The 22,491-nt window shown below is 38.1% G+C and overlaps 3 protein-coding genes and 1 pseudogene across 31 annotated transcripts in view, besides 1 other annotated feature; 2 read left to right on the plus strand and 2 right to left on the minus strand.

Moving 5' to 3' along the window:
• GFM2 (GTP dependent ribosome recycling factor mitochondrial 2) overlaps positions 1-4,960 on the minus strand; it is a 45,912-nt gene extending 40,952 nt beyond the window's left edge. For 5 of the 10 annotated variants that reach the window (NR_104006.2, NM_170691.3, NM_032380.5 and 2 more), the window contains exons 1-2: positions 4,781-4,960; positions 1,523-1,609 (exon numbers count right to left, since the gene is read on the minus strand). Coding sequence is in view for 9 of the 10 variants with exons in the window: in NM_170691.3 (NP_733792.1) it covers positions 1,523-1,585 (63 nt within the window). In the remaining variant the exon portion in view is untranslated. Of the gene's footprint in view, positions 1-1,522; positions 1,610-2,877; positions 2,996-4,342 lie in introns of all 10 variants that reach the window. The other 5 variants (XM_047417835.1, XM_017009986.2, XM_047417834.1 and 2 more) reach the window with 3 other exon arrangements.
• Positions 4,673-5,112: an enhancer, noted in NCBI's record as "active region_22675". NCBI's record gives its function as "activates an Ori minimal core promoter by ATAC-STARR-seq in GM12878 lymphoblastoid cells {active_cell/tissue: GM12878}" and the evidence as "EXISTENCE:reporter gene assay evidence [ECO:0000049][PMID:35858748]".
• On the plus strand, positions 5,092-17,956 carry NSA2 (NSA2 ribosome biogenesis factor). 6 transcript variants are annotated; one of them, NR_073403.2, is made up of 7 exons: positions 5,092-5,206; positions 6,774-6,961; positions 7,057-7,207; positions 8,474-8,653; positions 10,156-10,264; positions 11,711-11,903; positions 14,447-17,956. NR_073403.2 is itself a non-coding variant. In NM_014886.6 (6 exons), exons 1-6 carry the CDS (start codon positions 5,204-5,206, stop codon positions 14,512-14,514), a joined length of 783 nt encoding a protein of 260 aa, NP_055701.1. In that variant the 5' UTR covers positions 5,092-5,203; the 3' UTR covers positions 14,515-17,956. The 6 variants fall into 6 exon arrangements, 3 of the variants coding, with proteins under 3 accessions (NP_055701.1, NP_001258594.1, NP_001351435.1); NR_157205.2 differs by having other exon boundaries at positions 10,158-10,264; NM_014886.6 differs by lacking the exon at positions 10,156-10,264.
• Positions 15,417-22,491, minus strand: part of FAM169A (family with sequence similarity 169 member A) — an 89,393-nt gene continuing 82,318 nt past the window's right edge. For all 15 annotated transcript variants that reach the window (NR_046462.1, NR_164753.1, NR_164754.1 and 12 more), the window contains 2 exons: positions 20,774-20,977; positions 15,417-19,851 (listed from right to left, as the gene is read on the minus strand). Coding sequence is in view for 12 of the 15 variants with exons in the window: in XM_047417083.1 (XP_047273039.1) it covers positions 19,303-19,851; positions 20,774-20,977 (753 nt within the window). In the remaining 3 variants the exon portion in view is untranslated. The remainder of the gene's footprint in view (positions 19,852-20,773; positions 20,978-22,491) is intronic.
• RNU6-1330P (RNA, U6 small nuclear 1330, pseudogene) lies at positions 17,152-17,256 on the plus strand (annotated as a pseudogene).

The following is a 22,491-nucleotide window of genomic DNA, read 5'->3' on the forward strand; positions in this document are numbered from 1 at the left end:
TTGTAGATGAATGGTAAGGCTTCTTAGCAACAACAACAAAAAAACTGTAGACGAATGGTAAGGCTTCTTAAGGGTTACAGGTTCTCCCATACAGCAGTCACACCCTATCCACAGGGGTTATATTCCAAGACCCCCAGTGGATTCCTGAAACCTCAGATAGTACAGAACCTAATTACTATCAATCAGAACATGGTTCTGTTCATGTCTTCTGCCCACAAACTGAATACCTTTTCCATCTTAACTGAGCTCTTATCATGTTATGTGACCATAATTTTTGTAGTTTGAAGTGCAACAGTAAAACTAGCAAAAATGTCTTTTTCTTTCTTCACAATTTCATGGATAGAAGATTCATTCCTACCATAGATCTTAGCAACCTCAGCATATGATTTGTTTTTTTCCTTATTAAGCCAAGAATGTTCACCTTTTCACTTAAAGGGAGCACTTTATGGCTTCTCTTTGGCACATCCAAATTGCCAGCATCACTACTCTTGCGCTCTGGGACCGTGATTAAGTAAAATAAAGGTTACTTGAACACAAGCACTGCAGTATCACAACAGTGAATCTGATAACCCAGATGGCTACTGACTCATGGGTGGGGAGTGTATACAATGTGGATATGCTGGGCAAAGGAATGACTCACCTCCCAGGTGGGATTAAGTGGGATGGCATGAGATTTCATCACAGTACTCAGAATGGCACACAATTTAAAACTTATGAATTATTTCTGGAATTTCCCATTTAATTTTCAGACCACAGTTGACTCTGAGCAACTGAAACAGCTAAACAGCAAAACCATGAATAAGGGGAAACTATTGTACTCCCTGTTAAGTCACTGAAGATAAAAAGAAACAACCCAAACAAGCTTTAAAGTAATCTCTCACTTAGCTATAGATAAAAAGGGTATTATTATGTTTGAGATTTAATATCTTTAAGTATACTGAAGATGTGATAGTTTAGAAAATAATTTATAGTGTTTTGAAGAGGATTCAGGAGTCAGACCAGAGCTAAAGACTAAAACAATGTTCCTGAGACAAATATCAGACTGCCGAAGAAGCTGGCTTCCAACAGCTCTGCAGAAGACAGCCAAAAGTAGTTGTATCAACCATTGTATAATTATGTTGTACTTTGATATTAACAGAAACTTTATTTCATAAGAGTCTCAATCCATGGATACTTAATATTACAAAGCACATTATTTGTTAGTAGTTTAAAGATGTGCATTAAGTGATGACATTCTTAGATATAAAACCCTACCCCTCCTTCAAAAACAACTGGCATTTTAGTACTCCATGAGACCAGTATTTAGCTACAGCTGTTCTTTTACTTTTAAATTAAGGTAATTTCCTCTTATATTTCTTAATAAATTAAGGTAATTACTTTCAAATTAGTTTAGCTTGAAGATTTCCAAAGGTTATGACTCAACTAAATTTGGAATCAACAGCTGATGAGATATACTGGGCATTTTAGGCAGTAAAGGAGCTGAGGTTGTTAAAGGACACTTAATTTTATAAGAAATGCTTACATTAATATACACACTGGGTATTGTCTGATGACTCATTGCAAATATCCTCAAGTTGGTCAACATCTTGATCCTCCAAACTGTTACTGTCTGAAAAAATAAATATACAAAATCAAAAAACTAAACTTATGTATTACATGTCAGCAAGGCATATGTAAGTTAGACATATGTAATATGTATGGTAAAATGTATTACTTTTAAAAAGTTGGAACAATATTTTTAGCTACCAAAAATTCAATGCATCATTCAGAAAATGGAAAATTCTGATTAAATATGAGAAATATGGTTTTTAGGTTTAAAATGTCCCTTATTTGTCAATGTAATGTTTAAAGAAAGATATGGCGATACAGTAGAAATCAACTTATTGAAATTACAAAACATTGTATCAACCAAAATGCATTGTTATGTAAATGTATAGAATTAAGCATAAAAAGCTAAGCATCCACATATTAACTTGGTAATTTCTAATTGGCAGTAAAATTTATTGATTCATTTGTATACTCTGATTTTCCTACCATACCATGTAAAAACTAAATCATGTAAAAAATATATAAAAGCAAGTCCTCTTCCTCTCTGATTATAGAAACTAAGCATCTTTAGTTTAAAAACATTTGCTAAATATTCACTATGTTTCAAGTACAATATCAAAGCTATTAGAAATATAAGGACGCAGCTGAGACTGGGGATGCTGGGGAGACAGACAGACCATGTTAAACCAAGCTTGTCCAACCCGTGGCCTGCAGGCCACATGCGGCCCACGATATCTTTATATGCAGCCCAACATAAATTCGTAAACTTTCTTAAAATATTATGAGGTTTTTTTTATTTTTTTTTAGCTCATCAGCTATTGTTAGTTATCATTAGTGATTTTATGTGTGGCCAAAGACAATTCTTCCAGTGTGGCCCAGGGAAACCAAAAGATTAGACACCCCTGTGTTAAACCATTGTGATCCATGTTATTAAGATATGTGAAACCTCATTACTACTCCTAAGTCTGTTCTTTCTGGATCTTAGCTAAGAAACATTCACTACTCTTATTTAGAAAGTCATCTAATACTTACATTTGATTTCCTAAATATATTTGAATCTGTTCCCTTTGTTGTTTTTTTTTTTTTTTTTTTTTTTTTGAGACAGGGTCTTGCCCTGTCACCAAGCCTGGAGTGCAGTGGCTTGATCTCAGCTCCCTGCAACCTCTGCCTCCTGGGTTCAAGCGATTCTCCTGCCTCAGCCTCCCGAGTAGCTGGAACTACAGGCATGTGCCACCACACTTGGCTACTTTTTGTATTTTTAGTAGAGACGGGGTTTCGCCATGTTAGCCAGACTGGTCGTGAACTCCTGACCTCAAGTGATCTACCCACCTCGGCCTCCCAAAGTGCTGGGATTACAGGCGTGAGCCACCATGCCTGGCCTTGAATCCATTCCCTTTTCATTGGTAACGCCAAAGTTCAGGGCCTCATAGTCTCTCCACAGTTGTGACTGTAATAGACATTTTCCTCTTCTTTAACTCAGTGGTTGTCAATAAAAAGATAATTTGCACAACCCAGCCCTCCCCCGCCCAAGCCTATTCGTTCCCATTTATTCAACAAGAATTTACTGTGTGTCTGCCTACCCACTGCTTTCTAGATATCAGCGTTAATGCAGTGAACAAAAGACAACAATCTCTGCCCTCATACTGCCTCTACCGTAGTCAGGGGATACAGACAACAAACAAAAGTAACGAATACAATACATAGTCTCTCCCATGATGATAGGGTGCTGTAGAGAAGAATGAAGCAGGAAGGAGGAATTGGGACAGTTAGAACTGTAAGTAAAGAGATCAAGGAAGGCCTCATTCAAACAGTGACATTTAAGCAAAGACCTGAAGTAGATGAGGGAGGAAATTCGGGGGATTGAGGGACGGCGGGGAGGGGCGCATTAAAGGCAAAGAGATTATATAACGTACTGTACCTAAAATATACAAATGCTAGTTACTATTTCTGGTTTTAAAGAGAATGATGAGATCACCTTAGAAAATGGAGCCTTAAAAAACTGCTTCAAAGGCGGGGCTCGGTGGCTCACGCCTGTAATTCCAGCACTTTGGGAGGCCGAGGCAGGTGGATCACCTGAAGTCAGGAGTTCGAAACCAGCCCGACCAACATGGTGAAACCCCATCTCTACTAAAAATACAAAAATATTAGCTGGGTGTGGTGGCGAGCGCCTATAATTCCAGCTACTTGGGAGGCTGAACCTGGAGAATCGCTTGAACCCGGGAGGCAGAGGTTGCAGTGAGACGAGATGGCGCATTTGCACTCCAGCCTGTGCGACAAGATTGAAACTCCGTCTCAAAACAAAACAAAAACTGCCTCAAAGCCGGGCGCTGTGGCTCAAGCCTGTAATCCCAACACTTTGGGAGGCCGAGGCGGGTGGATCGCTCGTACCCGGGAGTTCGAGACCAGCCTGGGCAACACGGTGAAACCTCATCTCTACAAAAACTACAAAAATCAGCCAGGCTTCGTGGCGCGAGCCTGTAGCTCGCTACTTTTGAGGCTGAGGTCGGAGGATCGCTTGATCCCGGGAGGTCGAGGCTGCGGTGAGCCGAGCTCGTGCCCCTGCACTCCAGCCTGGGCGACTGGGCGAGATGCCGTCTCAAAATACCCATAAAAACAAAAACAAAAACAAAATACTGCCTCAAATACAAGCACTAAGAATTAATGAAAGTATTCTTTTGGTACAGTTCTTTTTGTTCATCAACTGAATCACGCTGCAAGCTGTGAAGTAATTAAGGGAACTTCTGCAACTGTGCAGTAAAAGGGTAAACCTGATAGTGTATTTAAGTAGACGTACTTTCTGGTAGTTAATTACTTCTTGACACTAGGGGGCCACTAAATACAAGTCCACTCAGCATTTGATTCGGTGCACCAAAATGCCTCAGAAATTTCTGGAATCAGTCCTGTACCTCCAAAAAACCAGAATGTTATCTTCTTCTTTTCTAACAGCTGCAAAGCCCCAGTAGTTCCATTTTTCTGTACACTAAGTTTTCATTCCTCAGTATCCTTCACAATCATGCACACATTACACAGAGTGACCGGAACAAAGATGAGTCGACTTCGCCGAATGATAGAGAAAAACTTCCATACTGAGCGAACACCGAGGGGAGTCCGGAGGCCCTGTTGTCCTCTTCCGTGGCTGGCTGTGTCCGTCGCAGCCTGAAAGGTCAGCGGTACCCAGCGCTGTGACAGGGTCACAGGCGCGCGATGTCTCACAGCTCGGAGCAGTACTCACCTGGCATTAGGCCGCGTGCCGCAGGCCAGCTCTCACCGCTGGGCTCTTGAAGCAGGAGGCGCGAGCCGCGCCAAAGTCTGCAACGGCCTCAAGTCTCGACGCCAGCCTAGGCAAAAGGCAATGTATCTAAACGAAAAGAAAATAGGCTTTCTCCGCTCTACCGCCTCGGGCAGCCACACCTCCACACTTCCGGCGGTGTACCGGCCAAATGCCGCCTGCCAGCAACTTCCGTCCTCCTAGCTAAAAGCGGAAAACAGAGGCTCGGAACCGCTGCGTGGTTCTTGCTCTTCACTCGGCCGTTTTAAAGGGTGACTCTTTCCTGTCCCGGCCTGCGTGGTGTGGGCTTGTGGGTCTTTGAGACCCGAAAATTGAGAGCGTTTTCGCACTCCAGCGGCTGCTCCTGGCGGCTCTGCGGCCGTCACCATGGTAAGGAGGATGCCTCGGACGCTCGCGACACACAGCGTCTGAGTTAGTGGGACCTGAGGACTCTGGGGCGCTGGGGTAGGGGGTGAGCGGTGGTAGGCGGAAATGAGAACTGCCAAGAGAAAAGGATGGTAGACCCGTGGGGTGGGCTCTGAGGAGTGGAAACAACTTCACATTCGAGACACAGACGGTATTTGCCAGAACACAAGCTTTGGAGCAAGATTTTACTCTGTCCTGTTTTCTTTTTTCTTTTTGATCCACCGCTAAGAGTCCTAAAAATTCCTGATTTCACCACAAGCGTGGTTATCAGCCCCAGAGCCTAATGGGAATATGGTTGTCCCTTGTACAGTCTTAGATGTCAGTCCCGCCCCCTTCATTTTACTGCTGAGGAAACTGAAGGCGTCCTTGCCAAAGACCAGACAGCTAATGAATTGCGAAGCCGGGCTTAACGGCCCAGATCTAACTGCCAGGTCCTTTCTCTTTGTGTTACGTCTCTATAATCTGCGTTTCTTTGCAAAATGGCATTCCATACACCCTTCATGTGATTGCTGCAAAGTTTATGTGATAGCAGTTGGTAGCAGCACACCTTGTTGGTTGTTACTTAACATTGCTCTCTGTGCTGGACTTGGCTTTGTATCATTTTTATTTTTGCAGCCTTAAAATACGAATAGACTCACGCCTGGCCGCGTGTTTAAAACGTGTCTAAAATGCAAAAAGCATCCCATACATTGCTGGTGAAAAGAAAAATAATGCACTTTTGGAAAACGGTCTGGCAGTAAACACACGTCCACATGAAGACTTGCATGCAGTTGTTTATTGCAGATTTATTCGTAATCACCCAAAACTGGGAACAACCCTGATACCTATCATCTGGTCAGCGGGTAAACAGTGGTGTATCCATACAATAGCATACTACTCAACAATAAAAAGGATTGAAGTTCCTATACCTGCAGCAAATTGGGTGAATCCCAAAAGCAAGAAACCAGATTCAAAAGGCTATGTACTACTGTTGATCCCTGTTTCATTCTGGGAAAGGCAAAACTGTAGGGATAGGTATCAAACTGAGGGTTGGGAAAGAGGATTGACTTAAAAGTTACATAGGGAATTTTAGGGGGAAATGGAAATTCTTTGTATTTTGATTGTGGTGGTTACAGAACTGTGTAGTTAGGAAAAACTTAGAACTGTATACCTAAAAAGGACAGGTTTTACTGTGTGTAAATTATGCTTCAATAAAACTGACTTAAATTTTTTAAATGTGAAATGAAGGTGTTATTAAAAAAGCAAATTATGTCAAGGAAAAAAGATACTGTAATCAGTTCATCCCTTTTGTGGTCCAGTAGATTTTGGACCATTCCCTAATGAGATTATTAGAGATGTAAGCCCTGATGCCTCATATCATTCAAGACCAAAATTTAACTTACATCATGTGAATAAACTTAATGGTGCAAGAATCATTTAAGTAAGTGAACATTTGGATGAAACAGGGTCTTTGTGCTGTGTAAAAGAAAGCATTTTAGAATAATTGTCAGTACTTTAAAAAATTAAAATAATATTTCTTCCATCATTATAGCCACAGAATGAATATATTGAATTACACCGTAAACGCTATGGATACCGTTTGGATTACCATGAGAAAAAGAGAAAGAAGGAAAGTCGAGAGGCTCATGAACGTTCAAAGAAGGCAAAGAAAATGATTGGTCTGAAGGCTAAGCTTTACCATAAACAGCGTCATGCTGAGAAAATACAAATGAAAAAGACGTAAGTGGTCTCATTTATTTGTCATAACAAGTTAACATCTTTTGAGTAATCATTATTAAAACAGATAATCTTGAATCTTTTTTCCTTCTTGGTAGTATCAAGATGCATGAAAAGAGAAACACCAAACAAAAGAATGATGAAAAGACACCACAGGGAGCAGTACCTGCCTATCTGCTGGACAGAGAGGGACAATCTCGAGCTAAAGTACTTTCCAATATGATTAAACAGAAAAGAAAAGAGAAGGCGGTAAGCAATAACAATTGAAGTCTTTGTTTTGTTTAGGAGAATTACTTAAATTCAAATTTGAGGTTCTTGTTTCTCGGTTTAATTTCAAACATGAAGTACAGCTATTATTCCCATTATTTAGATGTTGAAGTCTTTGTAAATTTAATAAAAAACTTGCTTTCTCATCATAAGGTTTTAAAATTTAAGTTATAAAAAAAATTTATTAGAATGCCATATGAAATTAAAAAGCTGGTAAGGAGTGAATTTCAAATTCAATATTTGTCTTCCTGTTTGAAAACCCACAGTGCTATGCAGTCATAAAGAAAAATACAAATGCTTCTTATTTGTGCTGCCCTGTAGTGCCAAACTTGGTTAAAAAGTAGAATGGTGGAAAACTCCCTGAGTTGTCACAAAAAATGTGGCTTTTTAAAACACCTGTAAATAGATTAGCAGAAATCCAGATAAAAGAATATGCAGTATTTATATTTAAAGAATTATTTTTACTGCCTTACACTATTTCAGTTTTTTCATAGAATTTGCACTCAAGGGAGGCATAAAACATCTGGTGAGGATTTTGTCTTGCTAGTGATCTACAGATCCATCTCGGGAAGAAATACAGAGACATATTAAGAGGTGGAAACACTCTTCCAGTATTATGCTATTAAACATTAGTAAACACATATACTGCTTATAGAAGTCACTATCGGCTGGGCACCGTGACTCACGCCTGTAATCCCAGCACTTTGGGAAGCCAAGGCAGGTGGATCACCTGAGGTCAGGAGTTCAAGACCAGCCTGACCAATGTGGTGAAACCCCACCTCTACTAAAAATACAAAAATTAGCTGGGTGTGGTGGTGTGTGTCTGTAGTCCCAGCTACTCGGGAGGCTAAGACAGGAGAATTGCTTGTACCCAGGAGGCGGAGGCTGCACAGTGAGCCAAGATTGTACCACTGCACTCCAGCCTGAGCAACAGAGCGAGACTCCATCTAAAAAAAAAAAAAAAAAAAACCACCACATTACAGGTGGTATTTTCTCACCCATAACACAGCATTAAGATTTTTAGCTTAAGCCAACCATTTATTTAACATACCCATGATATATAAACTTGTTCTGTTTAATTTGCAGCTTATGAGACAATACAGACCTCTAGAAGACGGTTGAGCCAAAAATGTGTTGATGGTCAAGCAAAAAAAATAGATCTATTACTTTGTACAACTAAAACATATTTGACTTATTCTCATTGTCCTTTAATAACAATATAAACTTTTAACTGTGGCATATTTTTAGGGAAAATGGGAAGTCCCTCTGCCTAAAGTACGTGCCCAGGGAGAAACAGAAGTATTAAAAGTTATTCGAACAGGAAAGAGAAAGAAGAAGGCATGGAAGAGAATGGTTACTAAAGTGTGCTTTGTTGGAGATGGCTTTACAAGAAAACCACCTAAATATGAAAGATTCATCAGGCCAATGGTAAGTCCTTGGAAGAGTGTAATGACCGAAATGTTAGTTGACTTTATTAAATCGGATAAAGAACATTATCATTTCCTGAAATTCTTTAAATTGATGTGGAACAGGTTGAAAGATATTTTTATGCAATTTTTGTTATTTTATTGACAGAAGTTATTTAGTACTTTTTCCACTAGTCAAAAATCTTTAGCCCAGTGCGGTGGCTCACACCTGTAATCCCAGCACTTTGGGAGGTTGAGGTGGGTGGATCACCTGAAGTTAGGAGTTCAAGACCAGCCTGGCCAATGTAGTGAAACCCTATCTGTACTAAAAAATACAAAAAATAAGCTGGGCGTGGTGGCGGGCGCCTGTAATCCCAGCTACTAGGGAGGCTGAGGCAGGAGAATCGCTTGAACCTGGGAGGCGGAGGTTGCAGTGAGCTGAGATCACGCCATTGCACTCCAGCCTGGGCAAGAAGAGCAAAAATCCGTCTCAAAAAAAAAAAAAATCTTTTCAGCTTCGTGAGAGATTTGAAAAAGTAGTATCATAAGACATTGTCAGTGAATTCTGACTTTTAAACATGACATATTAGAATCTTCATTTTCCACAGTCATATTTTCCTCATTAAACTAGTGATCTACAATATGCCTGATATTGTCTAGGTCTCAAAACACTTCTTGTCTTTGACAGCAGTTCGAAAACTTGAGTAGGACTGTTTTATAAGAGTCAATTCCAGTTTGATAAGGAAAGTATCTAAATGCTTTTGAAAATCATTGAAAAGCCGGGCGCGGTGGCTCACGCCTGTAATCCCAGCACTTTGGGAGGCCGATGCAGGCAGATCACGAGGTCAGGTGATCAAGACCATCCTGGCTAACACTGTGAAACCCCATCTCTACTAAAAAAAAAAAATACAAGAAATTAGCCGGGCATGGTGGCGGGCGCCTGTAGTCCCAGCTGCCTGGGAGGCTGAGGCAGGAGAATGGCGTGAATCTGGGAGGCAGAGCTTGCAGTGAGTGGAGATCATGCCACTGCACTCCAGCCTGGGGGACAGAGCAAGATTCTGTCTCAAAAAAAAAAAAAAAAGAAAAAAAGAAAAAGAAAATCTTTGAAAAAAGGAAGATAATTTAATATAGCTTAATTTCTGTTGAAGGCAGCAATAGTAATGTGACCCCAAACTTCCCCACCCCTGGGGAGAAACATAGTTGAAGATATATTTTTGCAAAATCCCTTCAAAGAGACTGAACTATTCTCCCAGTTAGATACACAGCCTCAAAAAAACAAAGTATCAGAGAGAGGAAAGTTGCAACATGCCATAATCCTAGTGTTCAACCTGAGTAATTTTTTTTTTTTTTTTTTGGGACGGAGTCTCCCTCTGTATCCCAGGCGGGAGTGCAGTGGCACGATCTCGGCTCACTGCAAGCTCCGCCTCCCGGGTTCTCGCCATTCTCCTGCCTCAGCCTCCCGAGTAGCTGGGACTATAGGTGCCCGCTACCACGCCCGGCTAATTTTTTTGTATTTTTTTGTAGAGACGGGGTTTCACCGTGTTAGCCAGGATGGTCTCGATCTCCGTGATCCGCCCGCCTTAGCCTCCCAAAGTGTTGGAATTACAGGCATGAGCCACCGTGCCCGGCCAACGTGAGTAATTTTTAATAGATTAAAATATTGGCAAATAGCCTGTTTCTGTAAATAAAATTTTAATGGAACACAGTCATGCCTGTTCATTTACATATTGCATAACCCCTACCCCTAGAATTGAGCAGTTGCAACAGAGGCCATATGGCCTGACAAAGCCTAAAGTGTTTACCTATTGGGTTCTTTACACAAAATGTTTGCCCACCCCGGATTATATCATGGACTCGACTTGTTTTGGTTTCATATTCATAGTCTGAATATATTTTGGTAGCCTTAACAGTTCTACAGGGAGAGAATATACAAGTCAGGCTATTCTAGGTTTTCTGTAGTTTCACAGATTTGTCATTATAATCAGATGGCATCCTGAATGGTGTCAGTTTCTTACAAGCTTGATTAATGAGTCTGTTACTAAGAAACTGATTTAGTGATTTTTTCCCCCCATCCCCATGCACACAAAAATGAAGACTGCAAAATGTTGTGACGTTTAAAGTACTACACCCTAAAAGACCTTATTAGGTGACTGGGTGACTCCATAACCAGTTTCTGTAACAAAGACTCCTCTGGGTCTCCTCCAGTCTCATATTGCCATCAACCTAAAGAAAGCTGACAGTCCACTCCTTTTTTCATCATGGAAGGTAGCCGAGTTATATAAAGACTTGGAATCAGGATATTAAGGTTTGAGTCTGTTTACCACTCACCATTTAATCTGGAAACAAGTCATTTAACCTGCTGATCCTTGTTACATCATTTGAAAACAGAGGAGAGGGGATGTGTTTGTTGTGAGGTTATTGTGTTTAAGTGAGCCAGTTGTGAGCTAGCATAGTGGCCTGGTATATATAAAGTCCTTAGTAAGTCTAAGTGTAGATGACTAGACAGTAAAAATCTGGGTATGTTGCTAGGTAGCTATTACAGGGTGAAAAAAAAAAAAACTTTTCAGAGGCTAGCTGTGGTGGCCTGTAATCCCAGCACTTTGGGAGGCTGAGGTGGGTGGATACGTTGAGAGCCCAGGAGTCCAAGACCAGCAGGCAACATGGCGAAACCCCATCTCTACCAAAAAAAAAAAAAAAAAAAATAAGCTAGGCATGGTGGTGCGTGCCTGTAGTCCCAGCTACTCAGGAGCCTGAGGTGGGAGGATGTCTTGAGCCCAAGAAGTCCAAGCTGCAGTGAGCCAAGATCACGCCACTGCACTCTGGCGTGGGCAACTGGGCAAGACCCTGTCTCAAAAGAAAAAGAAATTCTTAAGTATTTGTGTGGGTGTTTTCCCCACATATTTATACTGTAACCATCAGCTTTTTACTCTGTAAAACATATTTTGTTAGCTTCTTTAAGATGACATTATTCAACCATAGTTTTTTGGAGATGGTTGAAAAAGATAAGCGAAAACGACCACTACTCATCACTGTTAACATTTTGGACGTAAACATTCTTATGTTGTGTTTGACTTACTAGGGCTTGCGTTTCAAGAAAGCCCATGTAACACATCCTGAACTGAAAGCCACCTTTTGCCTACCAATACTTGGTGTAAAGAAGAATCCCTCATCCCCACTGTATACAACTTTGGGTGTTATTACCAAAGGTACTGTCATTGAAGTAAATGTGAGCGAATTGGGCCTTGTGACACAAGGAGGCAAAGTTATTTGGGGTAAGTGAATTTTTGAATACAGGGCTGCTGTGTTCTGCAGTACTAATAGAAATACTATTCAAGTTGATGTATTAATAAAATATACAGCAAATTTTTTTAATGCAGTAGAGCTAAAACACTGTAAATCAGATGTAAATATTTAGTAAAAAATACTTTATAGAAAAAGTTGTTATAAATACAATTGTTTTAAAATTTAGCTTACTGGTTTTAGTTACATAAGGTGTAATACATTCTGCTAGATTTATTTTTATCCTTTTTAGCCAGGCACAGCAGCTCACGCATGTAAATCCCAGCACTTTGGGAGGCTGAGGCGGGTGGATCACCTGAAGTCAGGAGTTTGAGACCAGCCTGGCCAACATGGCAAAACCCCACCTCTACTAAAAATACAAAAAAATCAGCCGGGTGTGGTGGCGAGCACCTCTAATCCCAGCCACTTGGGAGGCTGAGGCAGGAGAATCACTTGAACTCAGGAGGCGGAGCTTGCAGTGAGCTGAGATTGTGCCACTGCACTCCAGACTGGGAGACAGAGCAAATCTCCATCTCAAAAAAAATTTTTTTAACCTTTTTAATAAAAATTATTATAAGGGAAGCAGATGCAAAGTTATAACTAAGAAATATTATAAGAAAATAGAATAAATTAACCATGAGCAGAGGAAGGGAGGCATATATCAAACATATTTTAAAAGTGAGGTCAGCTTACATGAAGTATTAGCCAATGACTAAAGATGTCTTCCGTAAGAAAAAATTTCTTTTGCCACAACTTTATATTATGTAAATACTTCTTATATTTACATGCTAACATTAAGAGAAAATACCTATTACATTTAAAGAAATAGAACTATCTGTCCCACGTAGGTAAACTGATCATTGAAACTGCCAGGAGCGGTGGCTCAGCCTGTAATCCCAGCACTTTGGGAGGCTGAGGCGGACAGATCATCTGCAGTCAGGAGTTCAAGACCAGCCTGGCCAACATGGTGAAACCCCATCTCTACTAAAAATACACAAATTAGCCAGGTGTTGTGGCCCACACCTGTAATCCCAGCTGCTCCGGTGGCTGAGGCAGGAGAATCGCTTGAACCTGGGAGGTGGAGCTTGCAGTGAGCTGAGATCGTGCCATTGCACTCCAGCCTGGATGACAGAGCGAGACTCTGTCTCAAAAAGTAATAATAATAATTGAAAGTGATTTAACACAGTTTAGTTCGTTCTGTTAATTCCCATTAACAGGTCTCAGAAATCATGTAGAAGCTTCCAGGCTTTAAAAAGCCCCCTCGCTATCTGGGCGCAGTGGCTGACACCTATAATCCCAGCACTTGGGGAGGCCGAGGCAGGCGGTTCACTTGAGACTGGAGTTGGAGACCAGCCTGGCCAACATGACAAAACGCCGTCTCTACTAAAAATACAAAACAATTAGCCAGGTGTGGTTGTGGGTGCCTGTAATTCCAGCTACTCGGGAGGCTGAGGCAGGAGAATCACATGAACCTGGAGCTTGCAGTGAGCTGAGATCATGCCACTGCACTCCGGCCTGGGAGACAGAGCAAGCCTCCATCTCAAAAATAAGTAAAATAAAAATATTTTGATCTTTTTTAATAAAAATTCTTTATTACAAGGGAAGCAGATGCAAAGTTATAACTAAAAAAAATTGTAAAAAAAAAATAGAATAAATTAACCATGAGCCGAGGGAGGCATACAACATATAATCACACTAGATCAGTAATAATTAAAACAGAAATGTGTCATGCAGTAATTTTAAACGCCCTCATTTGCTTAGTTTTCTACCTTTAGTACCCAGATCCAATTTCTTTGAAAGGGAAGAATACACGCTACAACTTCTTCAGTCATTGGTTTATACTTCATGTCAGCTGACCTCAGTTTTAAAATATGTTGTTACCTTGACTTGAAACTCATTTGAAACTTGATACATTTTCCAGGAAGAATTATGTGAAAAAGTGACAATGCTCAGGTCAATCCACAAAAGCCTGTTAATGCAATGTACTAATAACATGGAGCTGGCCATTATTTGCAAAAACACTATTTGTATGAAAATTGTATTCAGAACTCAAATTTGTCCTTAAATGATTGAATTTTGTAAAATCTCATTTATCCTTTATGGTTCATTTCTTATTTATTGAAAGTGGTAATTAGAAATATTTTAGGCATGGCTGGGCGCAGTGGCTCACACCTATAATCACAGCACTTTGGGAGGCCAAGGCAGGCGGATCATTTGAGCTCAGGAGTTCGAGCCCAGCCTGGGCAACATGGCAAAACCACATCTCTACAAAATACAAAAACAAAAAAATTAGCCAGGCAGTGGCGTGTGCCTGTGGTCCCAGCTACCCGGAAGACTGAGTGAGGAGAATCGCTTGAGCCCAGGAGGCAGAGGTTGCAGTGAGCCAGATCACGCCACCACACTGCAGCCTGGGGAATAAGAGTGAAACCCTGTATTAAGACAAAAAGAAAAAAAAGGCAAAAGTTATATTCTTTAAAATTAATTTTTATTAGCTAACAACCCTCCCTTTTCCCTTTTTTGGTTTTGTTTTCCTTAGGAAAATATGCCCAGGTTACCAACAATCCTGAAAATGATGGATGTATAAATGCAGTCTTACTGGTTTGACAGCAATTTCATATATAATTATTGAGGACTACACACCAATTGAAGAAACTGCCATTACTGTGATGTTTCTGAATACTACCAAACAGCCATACATGTCTGCAATGAAGAGATTTATTAAATTGTAAACATTAAAGTGGTCCAGTTTTATAAATGGTCTTTATTTTGAAATACGCTTTGACCCCATGTTCATAAAACTGAATGATTGAAAAAAAGCAAATATACAAATATCCTACTTCATCAATATCTGCATTTGTGAGTGGGTATTCAGCAATTTCCTGAAAAAACCACCAGTGTTCATTGAAAATGCCTTTCAAAAAGGTTAATACACAATTATGTGTCTGAGAATTTAACTGAAGTATCTTCAAAATCTCGTTAATCATTAATCCTAAAAAAGGTAGGTAGCATTAATACAGATGTTAAGTTTATAGTGTTTGTTTACACTAGAAGTATGTGAGAAGACACTAAAAGTTCAGAAATCTTAGAGAAATCTTTTCACCTGTGAAATCCAGTACAGCAAAGGTCTAGTGAATTCACATTCTAAACATTTTTTTCATCTCATTTACCATGTATAATAATACCTACTTGGCACTATTTTCTACTTGAATCATGAAAATGAAAAAAATATACTAAAGTCTTTGTACTCTCTTAGCATTTTCTGTATTCTAAACAATATATTTATACTTTCAGAATAGTATTAAGAATTAGTTTAAGTAACTCCAGCTAAGTTTTAAAAGGAAAAAGAAGACTGCACTGATTCCCTGAGGAGAAATTTATTTGCAGTTACTTAGATGATGTAAAAAGGTAAGGATTTACGGTTGTAACTTGGTGAAAGCACTTTTGTGATCTGTTATATGTTGTGGTTTTAAGGATGGCGTATATTACATTAATCTATAATCACCACATTGTTTTAAATTGTTTATTTTTTTTTTAAAGAAGTCTGTCTTCAGAGTACAACCAATGTGATTAATTGTGCCTTTAACAAAGTCATTCAATGTCTAAACAAATTCAGTATCTGAAACATCTTCATGAGGAAAACTGAAGGAAAGGAATTTAAAAACACAGACCAGGAAACAATCACAAAATATAGGTTTAATTACTACTTTTAAACTTAAAAAAAAATAAAAACCAAGAAAACAAACATAGGTACTCCAGTAAGACTTGCTACTCTGAATAATGTAACATTTTTTCTAAGTTCTATAAATATATACTGGAAGTTTTAGAACACATACAGACGCTTAGGAAAAGAAAGGCTAGTTCCTTGGAAATGACGATCCAGGATGATACAATCACTTGATGACAGAAGGTAAGCCTTTCTTACAATTAGATTTTAGCAGATAATTTTACCACTAATATAAATGGGTGATGTGTGGATCACAAGTTCTAGAAGGCGAATAAAAATACTGACTCCAGGTAATTTCTGGATACTACAAAAATGAAGTTTGCTTGTTTTTTTTAGAACCAAAAATACTATCTTGTAAGGTACAAAGAAAGCTTGATATTAAGTATGAAAACATAAGCATAACATTTGTAACTAATCACACCCATGAAAGACGACTAGATGACACCTGAAACATTTTTCAAAATACTGTAACACAGATGAGTAATATTAGTATAAATTTTTTATGTACATTAAGATCTGTTTCAGTTTGCTGGTGTGACCAAACCTTAGAAGGTAATCCCAAGGGATAAAGCAGAACATAAGAGCAGATATTTAGATATTAGTACAGGCTCAATTTGATGCAATCATAAACCTTCAAGATTTCTAGTCACTGAAACCCCATTGTAGGTAGTGTTCTGGAGTCTGCTATAAGTAAATCTTTAATGACTAGATGTTTTCCTTACCATCTACACTGAATGGAAATACCATGAATATAGACACATTTTAAGTAGAAGACTGACGTTCTAAATCATGCTGTTTGATTTTATAAAAAAATCATAATAGACCCTCTCACCTTTAAAAGTTGTAGAGGAGCTTTATAATAAATTCTTAAATATACTAATTTCTGTGATGTCTAGCAATTGAATAATTTAAACTTGAAAGAACTAAAATACTAATAACCATCTGCTTTATATTACACAAGGAAATATACACGTATGTACATAAAAAGTGAACTCCCTTCACAAATAAGTTCACAAAGGACTATGTGTAATGTGACTGGACATTCAACAACTAGACTAGCCGGTTGAAATCACATTTTCAGTCCTCTGTAATTGTGAAATTTTTTCTAATGCCTTGCAAAAACTACAGATAACTGATTAAGTTCATGTAGGTTCCTTATTGAAGATAAATTGTGGTATAAATTCTATACTCAAGTTACTGAACATGAGAGTTAGGTTTTTCCAAGTGATCTAACTTTTCCCTCTATAATCTATAAACCCCAAAATAACAATTTCTGTCAGAGAGAATCTGTAACAGAAGTGTTCTTGTGTGCTGAACAAAAAACTTCTAAATTGTTTACAATTCACTTACTATTTAACCCAAACAAGTTTAACAAGAATAAGTTTATACTGTTAGCCCCCAATGGTCATATATGATTAATAAACATTTTTTGTAAACTCAACTATATTCACACATCAAGAGTTGAGCCAGTGAGCTCAATCTTTAAAAAACTACACTTGTCTAAAGAAAGTCTTTTAGTGCTCACTTCGGCAGCACATATACTAAAATTAGAACAATACAGGGAAAATTAGCATGGCCCCTGTGCAAGGATGACACAAATTCATGAAGCGTTTCCATGTTTAAAATAATTTGAAAAGAAAGTATTTTAAACAAATCCAAGTAAAAATAAAATATCTACAAGTGTTTTCAAATCTAAGAAATGAAACATGTAAAGATTAAGAATTTACTGAATCTTAACAGAGTATTTCCCTTTGTGATATTGACAGAAGTTTCTCATAAAATGTATAAAACAGCATAAATGTTTGGTAGATTCACTAATAGTAGTCATACTTTTTTTTTTTTACTTAGTATTAGCATTTGTTGAAAAAATAAATGGCCAAAGTGCTTTAATTTTCATTTAGAATGAAATAATCTGGCTTACCTTTGACTAATTAAAGAAAATATAGGGTAATACAATTGTTCAAAATCTAACACAAATAGGAGCGTTTACTATTTTTGTCTGCTTTAAGATTTTAACTTGATCGAAAATACCAACATCCCCAAACAAAATTTACTGACCTGACATCAGCTTACTATAGACTGAATACACTTTCAACATCAGTCCTTAGCTACCTCAAATAATGACACAAAGTCTTAGTTTCTTTTGCATAAGGATCAAGATCAAGCTATTTTTAAAACAATTTAAATGGTCTCAAAACATTCTCCAACTTAAGTGCAAATTTGAGTACACATAATATTTCCAAAGAGTAGAACTGTTTTTAGATTATCTTTGGATTCTAATAACCATTTTGTCCATTTTTAAATAAATTACAAAAAATAACAGTTCAGTGTTTTTTTTCTTCAAATTTTCCTAGGCCTTTGTTATGGCAACACAATATATACTTAACAGGCCAGCTTGCAACCAGTACTCAGTACAAATCAAAGGATGATTGAAGCCTCCAATATGATTGAAGCCCTTGTAACCACAGCTCCCCCAAAGGCAGTTTACCCCTGCCATATAGGTCTAACACTGGGGGCAGTTTTACTCCTGCCATATAGGTCTAACATTGTGGGGTGCACCTCCAAACCTACCCAAAAATGGACATCAAGGGCATAAGCCGGCAGGCAGGAAGATCTGTTGATTGGAGAATCACTCCATGAGTTACAGAAGTAGATGAAAGCTGTGGGGGAATATAAATAAGACTGTAGAATTAGGGAGGTGGCAAGATTTAAGGAGATGCCTTAGGAAGGAGCCTCATACTTCTGAAATATAGATGTTAACTGGGTTGGGATAAAAGTAAAATCTCCAGCTTAATTTATCTATCTGATCAGGACCAGAAGTCCAAATTAAACCATGTCTCCAAAGTATAGTTGTGATTTTTACCTGATTAAAGGTGAAAGTCTAAACTTCTAGGCGTCTGCACATATGCAGACAAAAAAAATTACAGCAAACTAATACTTCAAATGAAATTTTAAATAATTAGTCCCCACATGCCACAGTTAAATCCCTGACAGTACTGTTAACATCAGATGATAGAATGAATCAGAAACAGATTTTATGTGTACCTTTCCATAGATAGTGAAGTCAAAGGAAAAAACTGCATCTATATCTAGGATTAAGAGGCCAAAACCAAAATATCTTCATGAACCTTTGACCGTAAGTTTCTGTTTTTGTGCTCTCATTTACTTGAAGTTATATTTTTTCTAATTTATTGACACTTATTTTTGTTTAGGCATGCCTACATTTTAAAAAATTGGTGATTAGTTTTGAAATTTAAAACTTCTAGAACCCTCACCAAGTTTTACTATTAAAACCCTTAGTATAAAAGATTTCTGTGATCCTTATAAGTAATGGAAATCCTACTACTTTCACAGCTTTTTAATTATATTTTTGAAATAATGGTCAGATGTACCACCTGATAAAGAAAATATAATATGATCTGGTTTCCCAAAATTGAAACATGGTTAATAAAAATAAAAAATTGCATTTACCAAAAATAGCCTGGAAAATTAAAAACAATGGTGAATTCTACGTTCTAAAGGGAAGCAAAAAACTGCATAGTAAGTAAGTTCAAATTGAAATTTTGGAAATTTTTGTCCTGTGCCCCATGCTGTTTATTAATTACCATATTTTAAAAACAACAACTATGTTACAAAGAAGAGGATTTATCATCCACTTTCTTCTTCCTTCAGGTCAGCTTAGCTTTCTTCTTAGCAGGTCCTTTATGCCCTTTGGCCTTTCTTCTTAAATTCCGCCTGTCTACCACAGGCACTTCCACTTCTATTTCCTCTGAGCTGCTATCCACAGCTTTTTCTGCCGATTGTGTAAACTGATCCAGTTGCTCGGAAGATGCTTCAGACTGCTCCTCTGACTGATTCTTCTGTCCTGCATTCTGTGAAAATGGCACGTCTTCAAGTTCAACCTCTATCAAAGAACTCTGAGGAAGAGCAGTAGATGTTTCCTGGGGCTCAGATACCCCCTCCTCACCCTGGTCTTCCAATGAGGAAGTAGTATTAGGAGACAAATTCTCAGAGACCGGTTCTTCGGAAAATTCAGCTATCACAGAGTTTGGAAAACCACCATCAGATCGTTCTTCATTTGACATAGTAGCAACATTGTCTGAACTCCCAAGATGTGCTTTCTTTCTTGGAAGTAGGGACAATTTCTCTTCCATGTGCCCCTTTTCATCAGATGTGCCTTCATCCATCAACATTTCTGAGTCAGGTATACGTGGGGTCTGAAAATTAAAAACCTGGTCAACAAATAAACTTGTACTACAGTTCTAAAAATAAATTCTCAGGCTCTAATATGCAGTGACACTGAACTAGAATTTAATTCGGTATTCATTACTCAAAATCGAGTATTTTTTTGAATTTCTGTTCTGCTATATGTGTATATATTCTGAATACAACTCAATTTCTTCAAAATTGTTTCACATGGTAATTTTAATACTAAGTTATTACTTTGAGGATATAATGAAATAATTATTTCATAATTAAGACACATTAAGCTTCATATCAAGATTCTTTAAAACCATGAATCAACTCAGTTTTTTTAGTTTCCTGGTGTTACTGGAGCCAGAACCAAAAATACCTTGGGACTTCACTGCGCTACCACACTACGTTTGACTACGATTTCATTAGATAAGTTAGGGCAATGGAAGTTTTATTCTTTTGCTTAGGTGAGACACTAATAATGCCATACAACAGTTTTTTAGCCATAAGTTGTAATATTCAAAAGTAACAAAATTAAATTTCTTTTAAAATACTCCAACAAGTTTTTTCCCCCACTAACCTAATCTGTCTGCCTAATTAAAACAAATATAAATTACTGTTTTGGTCATAGTCTATGTAACAAATATAGGTACTCAAATATTTGGTAAATAATGCTTTATCCAATTTTCTAAGCATTTCCTAACTACAAAGTATTAAAAGTAATAAAACTCATTTTGTTACCACATATCAGATATGAATAAGGTTATTATTTGAATTTATAGAATATTACTGATTTTCTTATAATATCAAATCTAGTATAAAAGTTAATCTTCCTAAAGCACTGTACATGTAAAGGTGGAAGCAAATATATATACCATGCACCCTCCTCGCTAATGTCACCAACATTGGTAAACTTTATTAAAAAATAGCTCATTGCCCCCTTACCTTATCTGGTGCATCTACCTCAGGGGGTTTTGAAGATTCTACCACCAGTGGAACAAGATTTGTAGAGTCTTCACTGGAATTAAAAGGCTGCAATTTTAATTCTTCATCTAAAACTTCACTAGTGGAGTCTTCCTCTTCTGTTATAAGTGAGGTCTTAAGAGAATCGTCCATTATCTCACCATTCATAGGCTCTAATTCAGATTCCTACACCATGAGGAGAGAGGGAAAAAGTAAGGACATGATTACAAACTAACTTATTTGTCATGCATGACGGGTCCCTTCTCAGTGCCTACCTATCCTACACCAAGACTCAAATTTACATTATAGGACATGGGTTAAAGAACAGTCTTACTGGGGGAAGGAGGAAACTCATAAGGCAATATCAGCAAAATAAAATAATCCTGAGTACCCCGTACTCCCACTGCTCTTAAGGAAAGATGGGGCAGGACCAGGATGCTCTGTGGACACACAGTATGGGTCGGAGATTCAATGAAAAGACCCTACCCACTTGTTGTTCCTCCTTCTTAGAGGGCAATCAGGGAAAGAACTTTTTCAGGAAAAAGGCACCAGACAGAGTATAGACTTGATGCTAGCTCTTTACATAACACCAGCTGTTCAGCATCTGGAATCTATGGGAAATTACAGTTTTCTGTGCCAGAGGTAGGAAGCACTACCAGTCTTATGGGAAGTTCAGTTTGGGTGCTGCATCTTGCTGGGAGGAGAGAGCCCTAGTCTCAGTCAACACCAGGGTCATTTCTGAACAGTCCTGCTCCTTGCATATCATTAAAGTATGGAAATGCTATTTGATAACATGAACTCTCCAATTTCTAAAATTCTCCCAATGTTTATCCATTTACTTCTATTTAATATCAAGTATTTCTAATCCTGACATTCTAATAATTAAGGGGAATTTTATTACCATTATTAAAATTATAAAACTGATGCATTCAAGTGTTCACAAATAGATTTGACTGTGTAGGACCCCTAAAAGCATATCAAGGAAATTTTTCCAAAAGAGAAATCACGGTTTTTAATTTTTCTATAGTAAAAAATTTATTAAATTGTTCTAAAATAAAAATTGTCTATAAAATATCTATTTTATTATATCATATGATACACAGAATAGAGTTCACACAGAAGGTAATATAAAGCTCATAAAAATGACCAGAGTCGAGAGACATATAATCTAGAGTTACTGGTCATTCCCATAGATAAAACAGTTGAAGTCATGAGATCGGATGTATTTTCAAAAAAGATAAAATGAACCAAAGTTCAGAAAATCAAGGACTTTTTCTAGAGTGTCCACAATAAGGGGGAAAAGGCAAGTAGGAGAAGAGTCAAAAAATAAAAATAATACTTCAGAGACAGAAAAAACAAGAAACCAGCATGGCCAATATGGTGAAACCCGCTCTCTACTAAAAATATAAAAATTAGCCAGGCATGGCGGCACTCGCCTGTAGTCCCAGCTACTTGGGAGGCTGAGGCAGAATAGCTTGAACCCAGGATGCAGAGGTAGCAGTGAGCCAGAGAGATCATGCCACTGCAGTCCAGCCAAGGGAGACAGAGCAAGACTCCGTCTCAAAAAAAAAAAAAAAAAAACAAGAAACCAAAGTGCAATAGTATTATAAAGTGAGGAGACTAGAGAACTTCAGGAAGAGAGGGTAATCAACCCAGGCTAAAAAAAAAAAAAAAAAAAAAAAAAATAGGCTGGGCCACGG

Source organism: Homo sapiens, chromosome 5 (genome assembly GCF_000001405.40).
Source record: "Homo sapiens chromosome 5, GRCh38.p14 Primary Assembly".
Taxonomy (NCBI): Eukaryota; Metazoa; Chordata; class Mammalia; order Primates; family Hominidae; genus Homo; species Homo sapiens.

What these genes read in the sequence shown, in the direction of transcription:
- NSA2 (NM_014886.6), top strand. An exon ending in AAAATACAAATGAAAAAGAC is followed by an intron (nt 6,962 to 7,056) that starts GTAAGTGGTCTC and finishes CCTTCTTGGTAG; the next exon opens with TATCAAGATGCATGAAAAGA. An exon ending in AGGAGGCAAAGTTATTTGGG is followed by an intron (nt 11,904 to 14,446) that starts GTAAGTGAATTT and finishes TGTTTTCCTTAG; the next exon opens with GAAAATATGCCCAGGTTACC.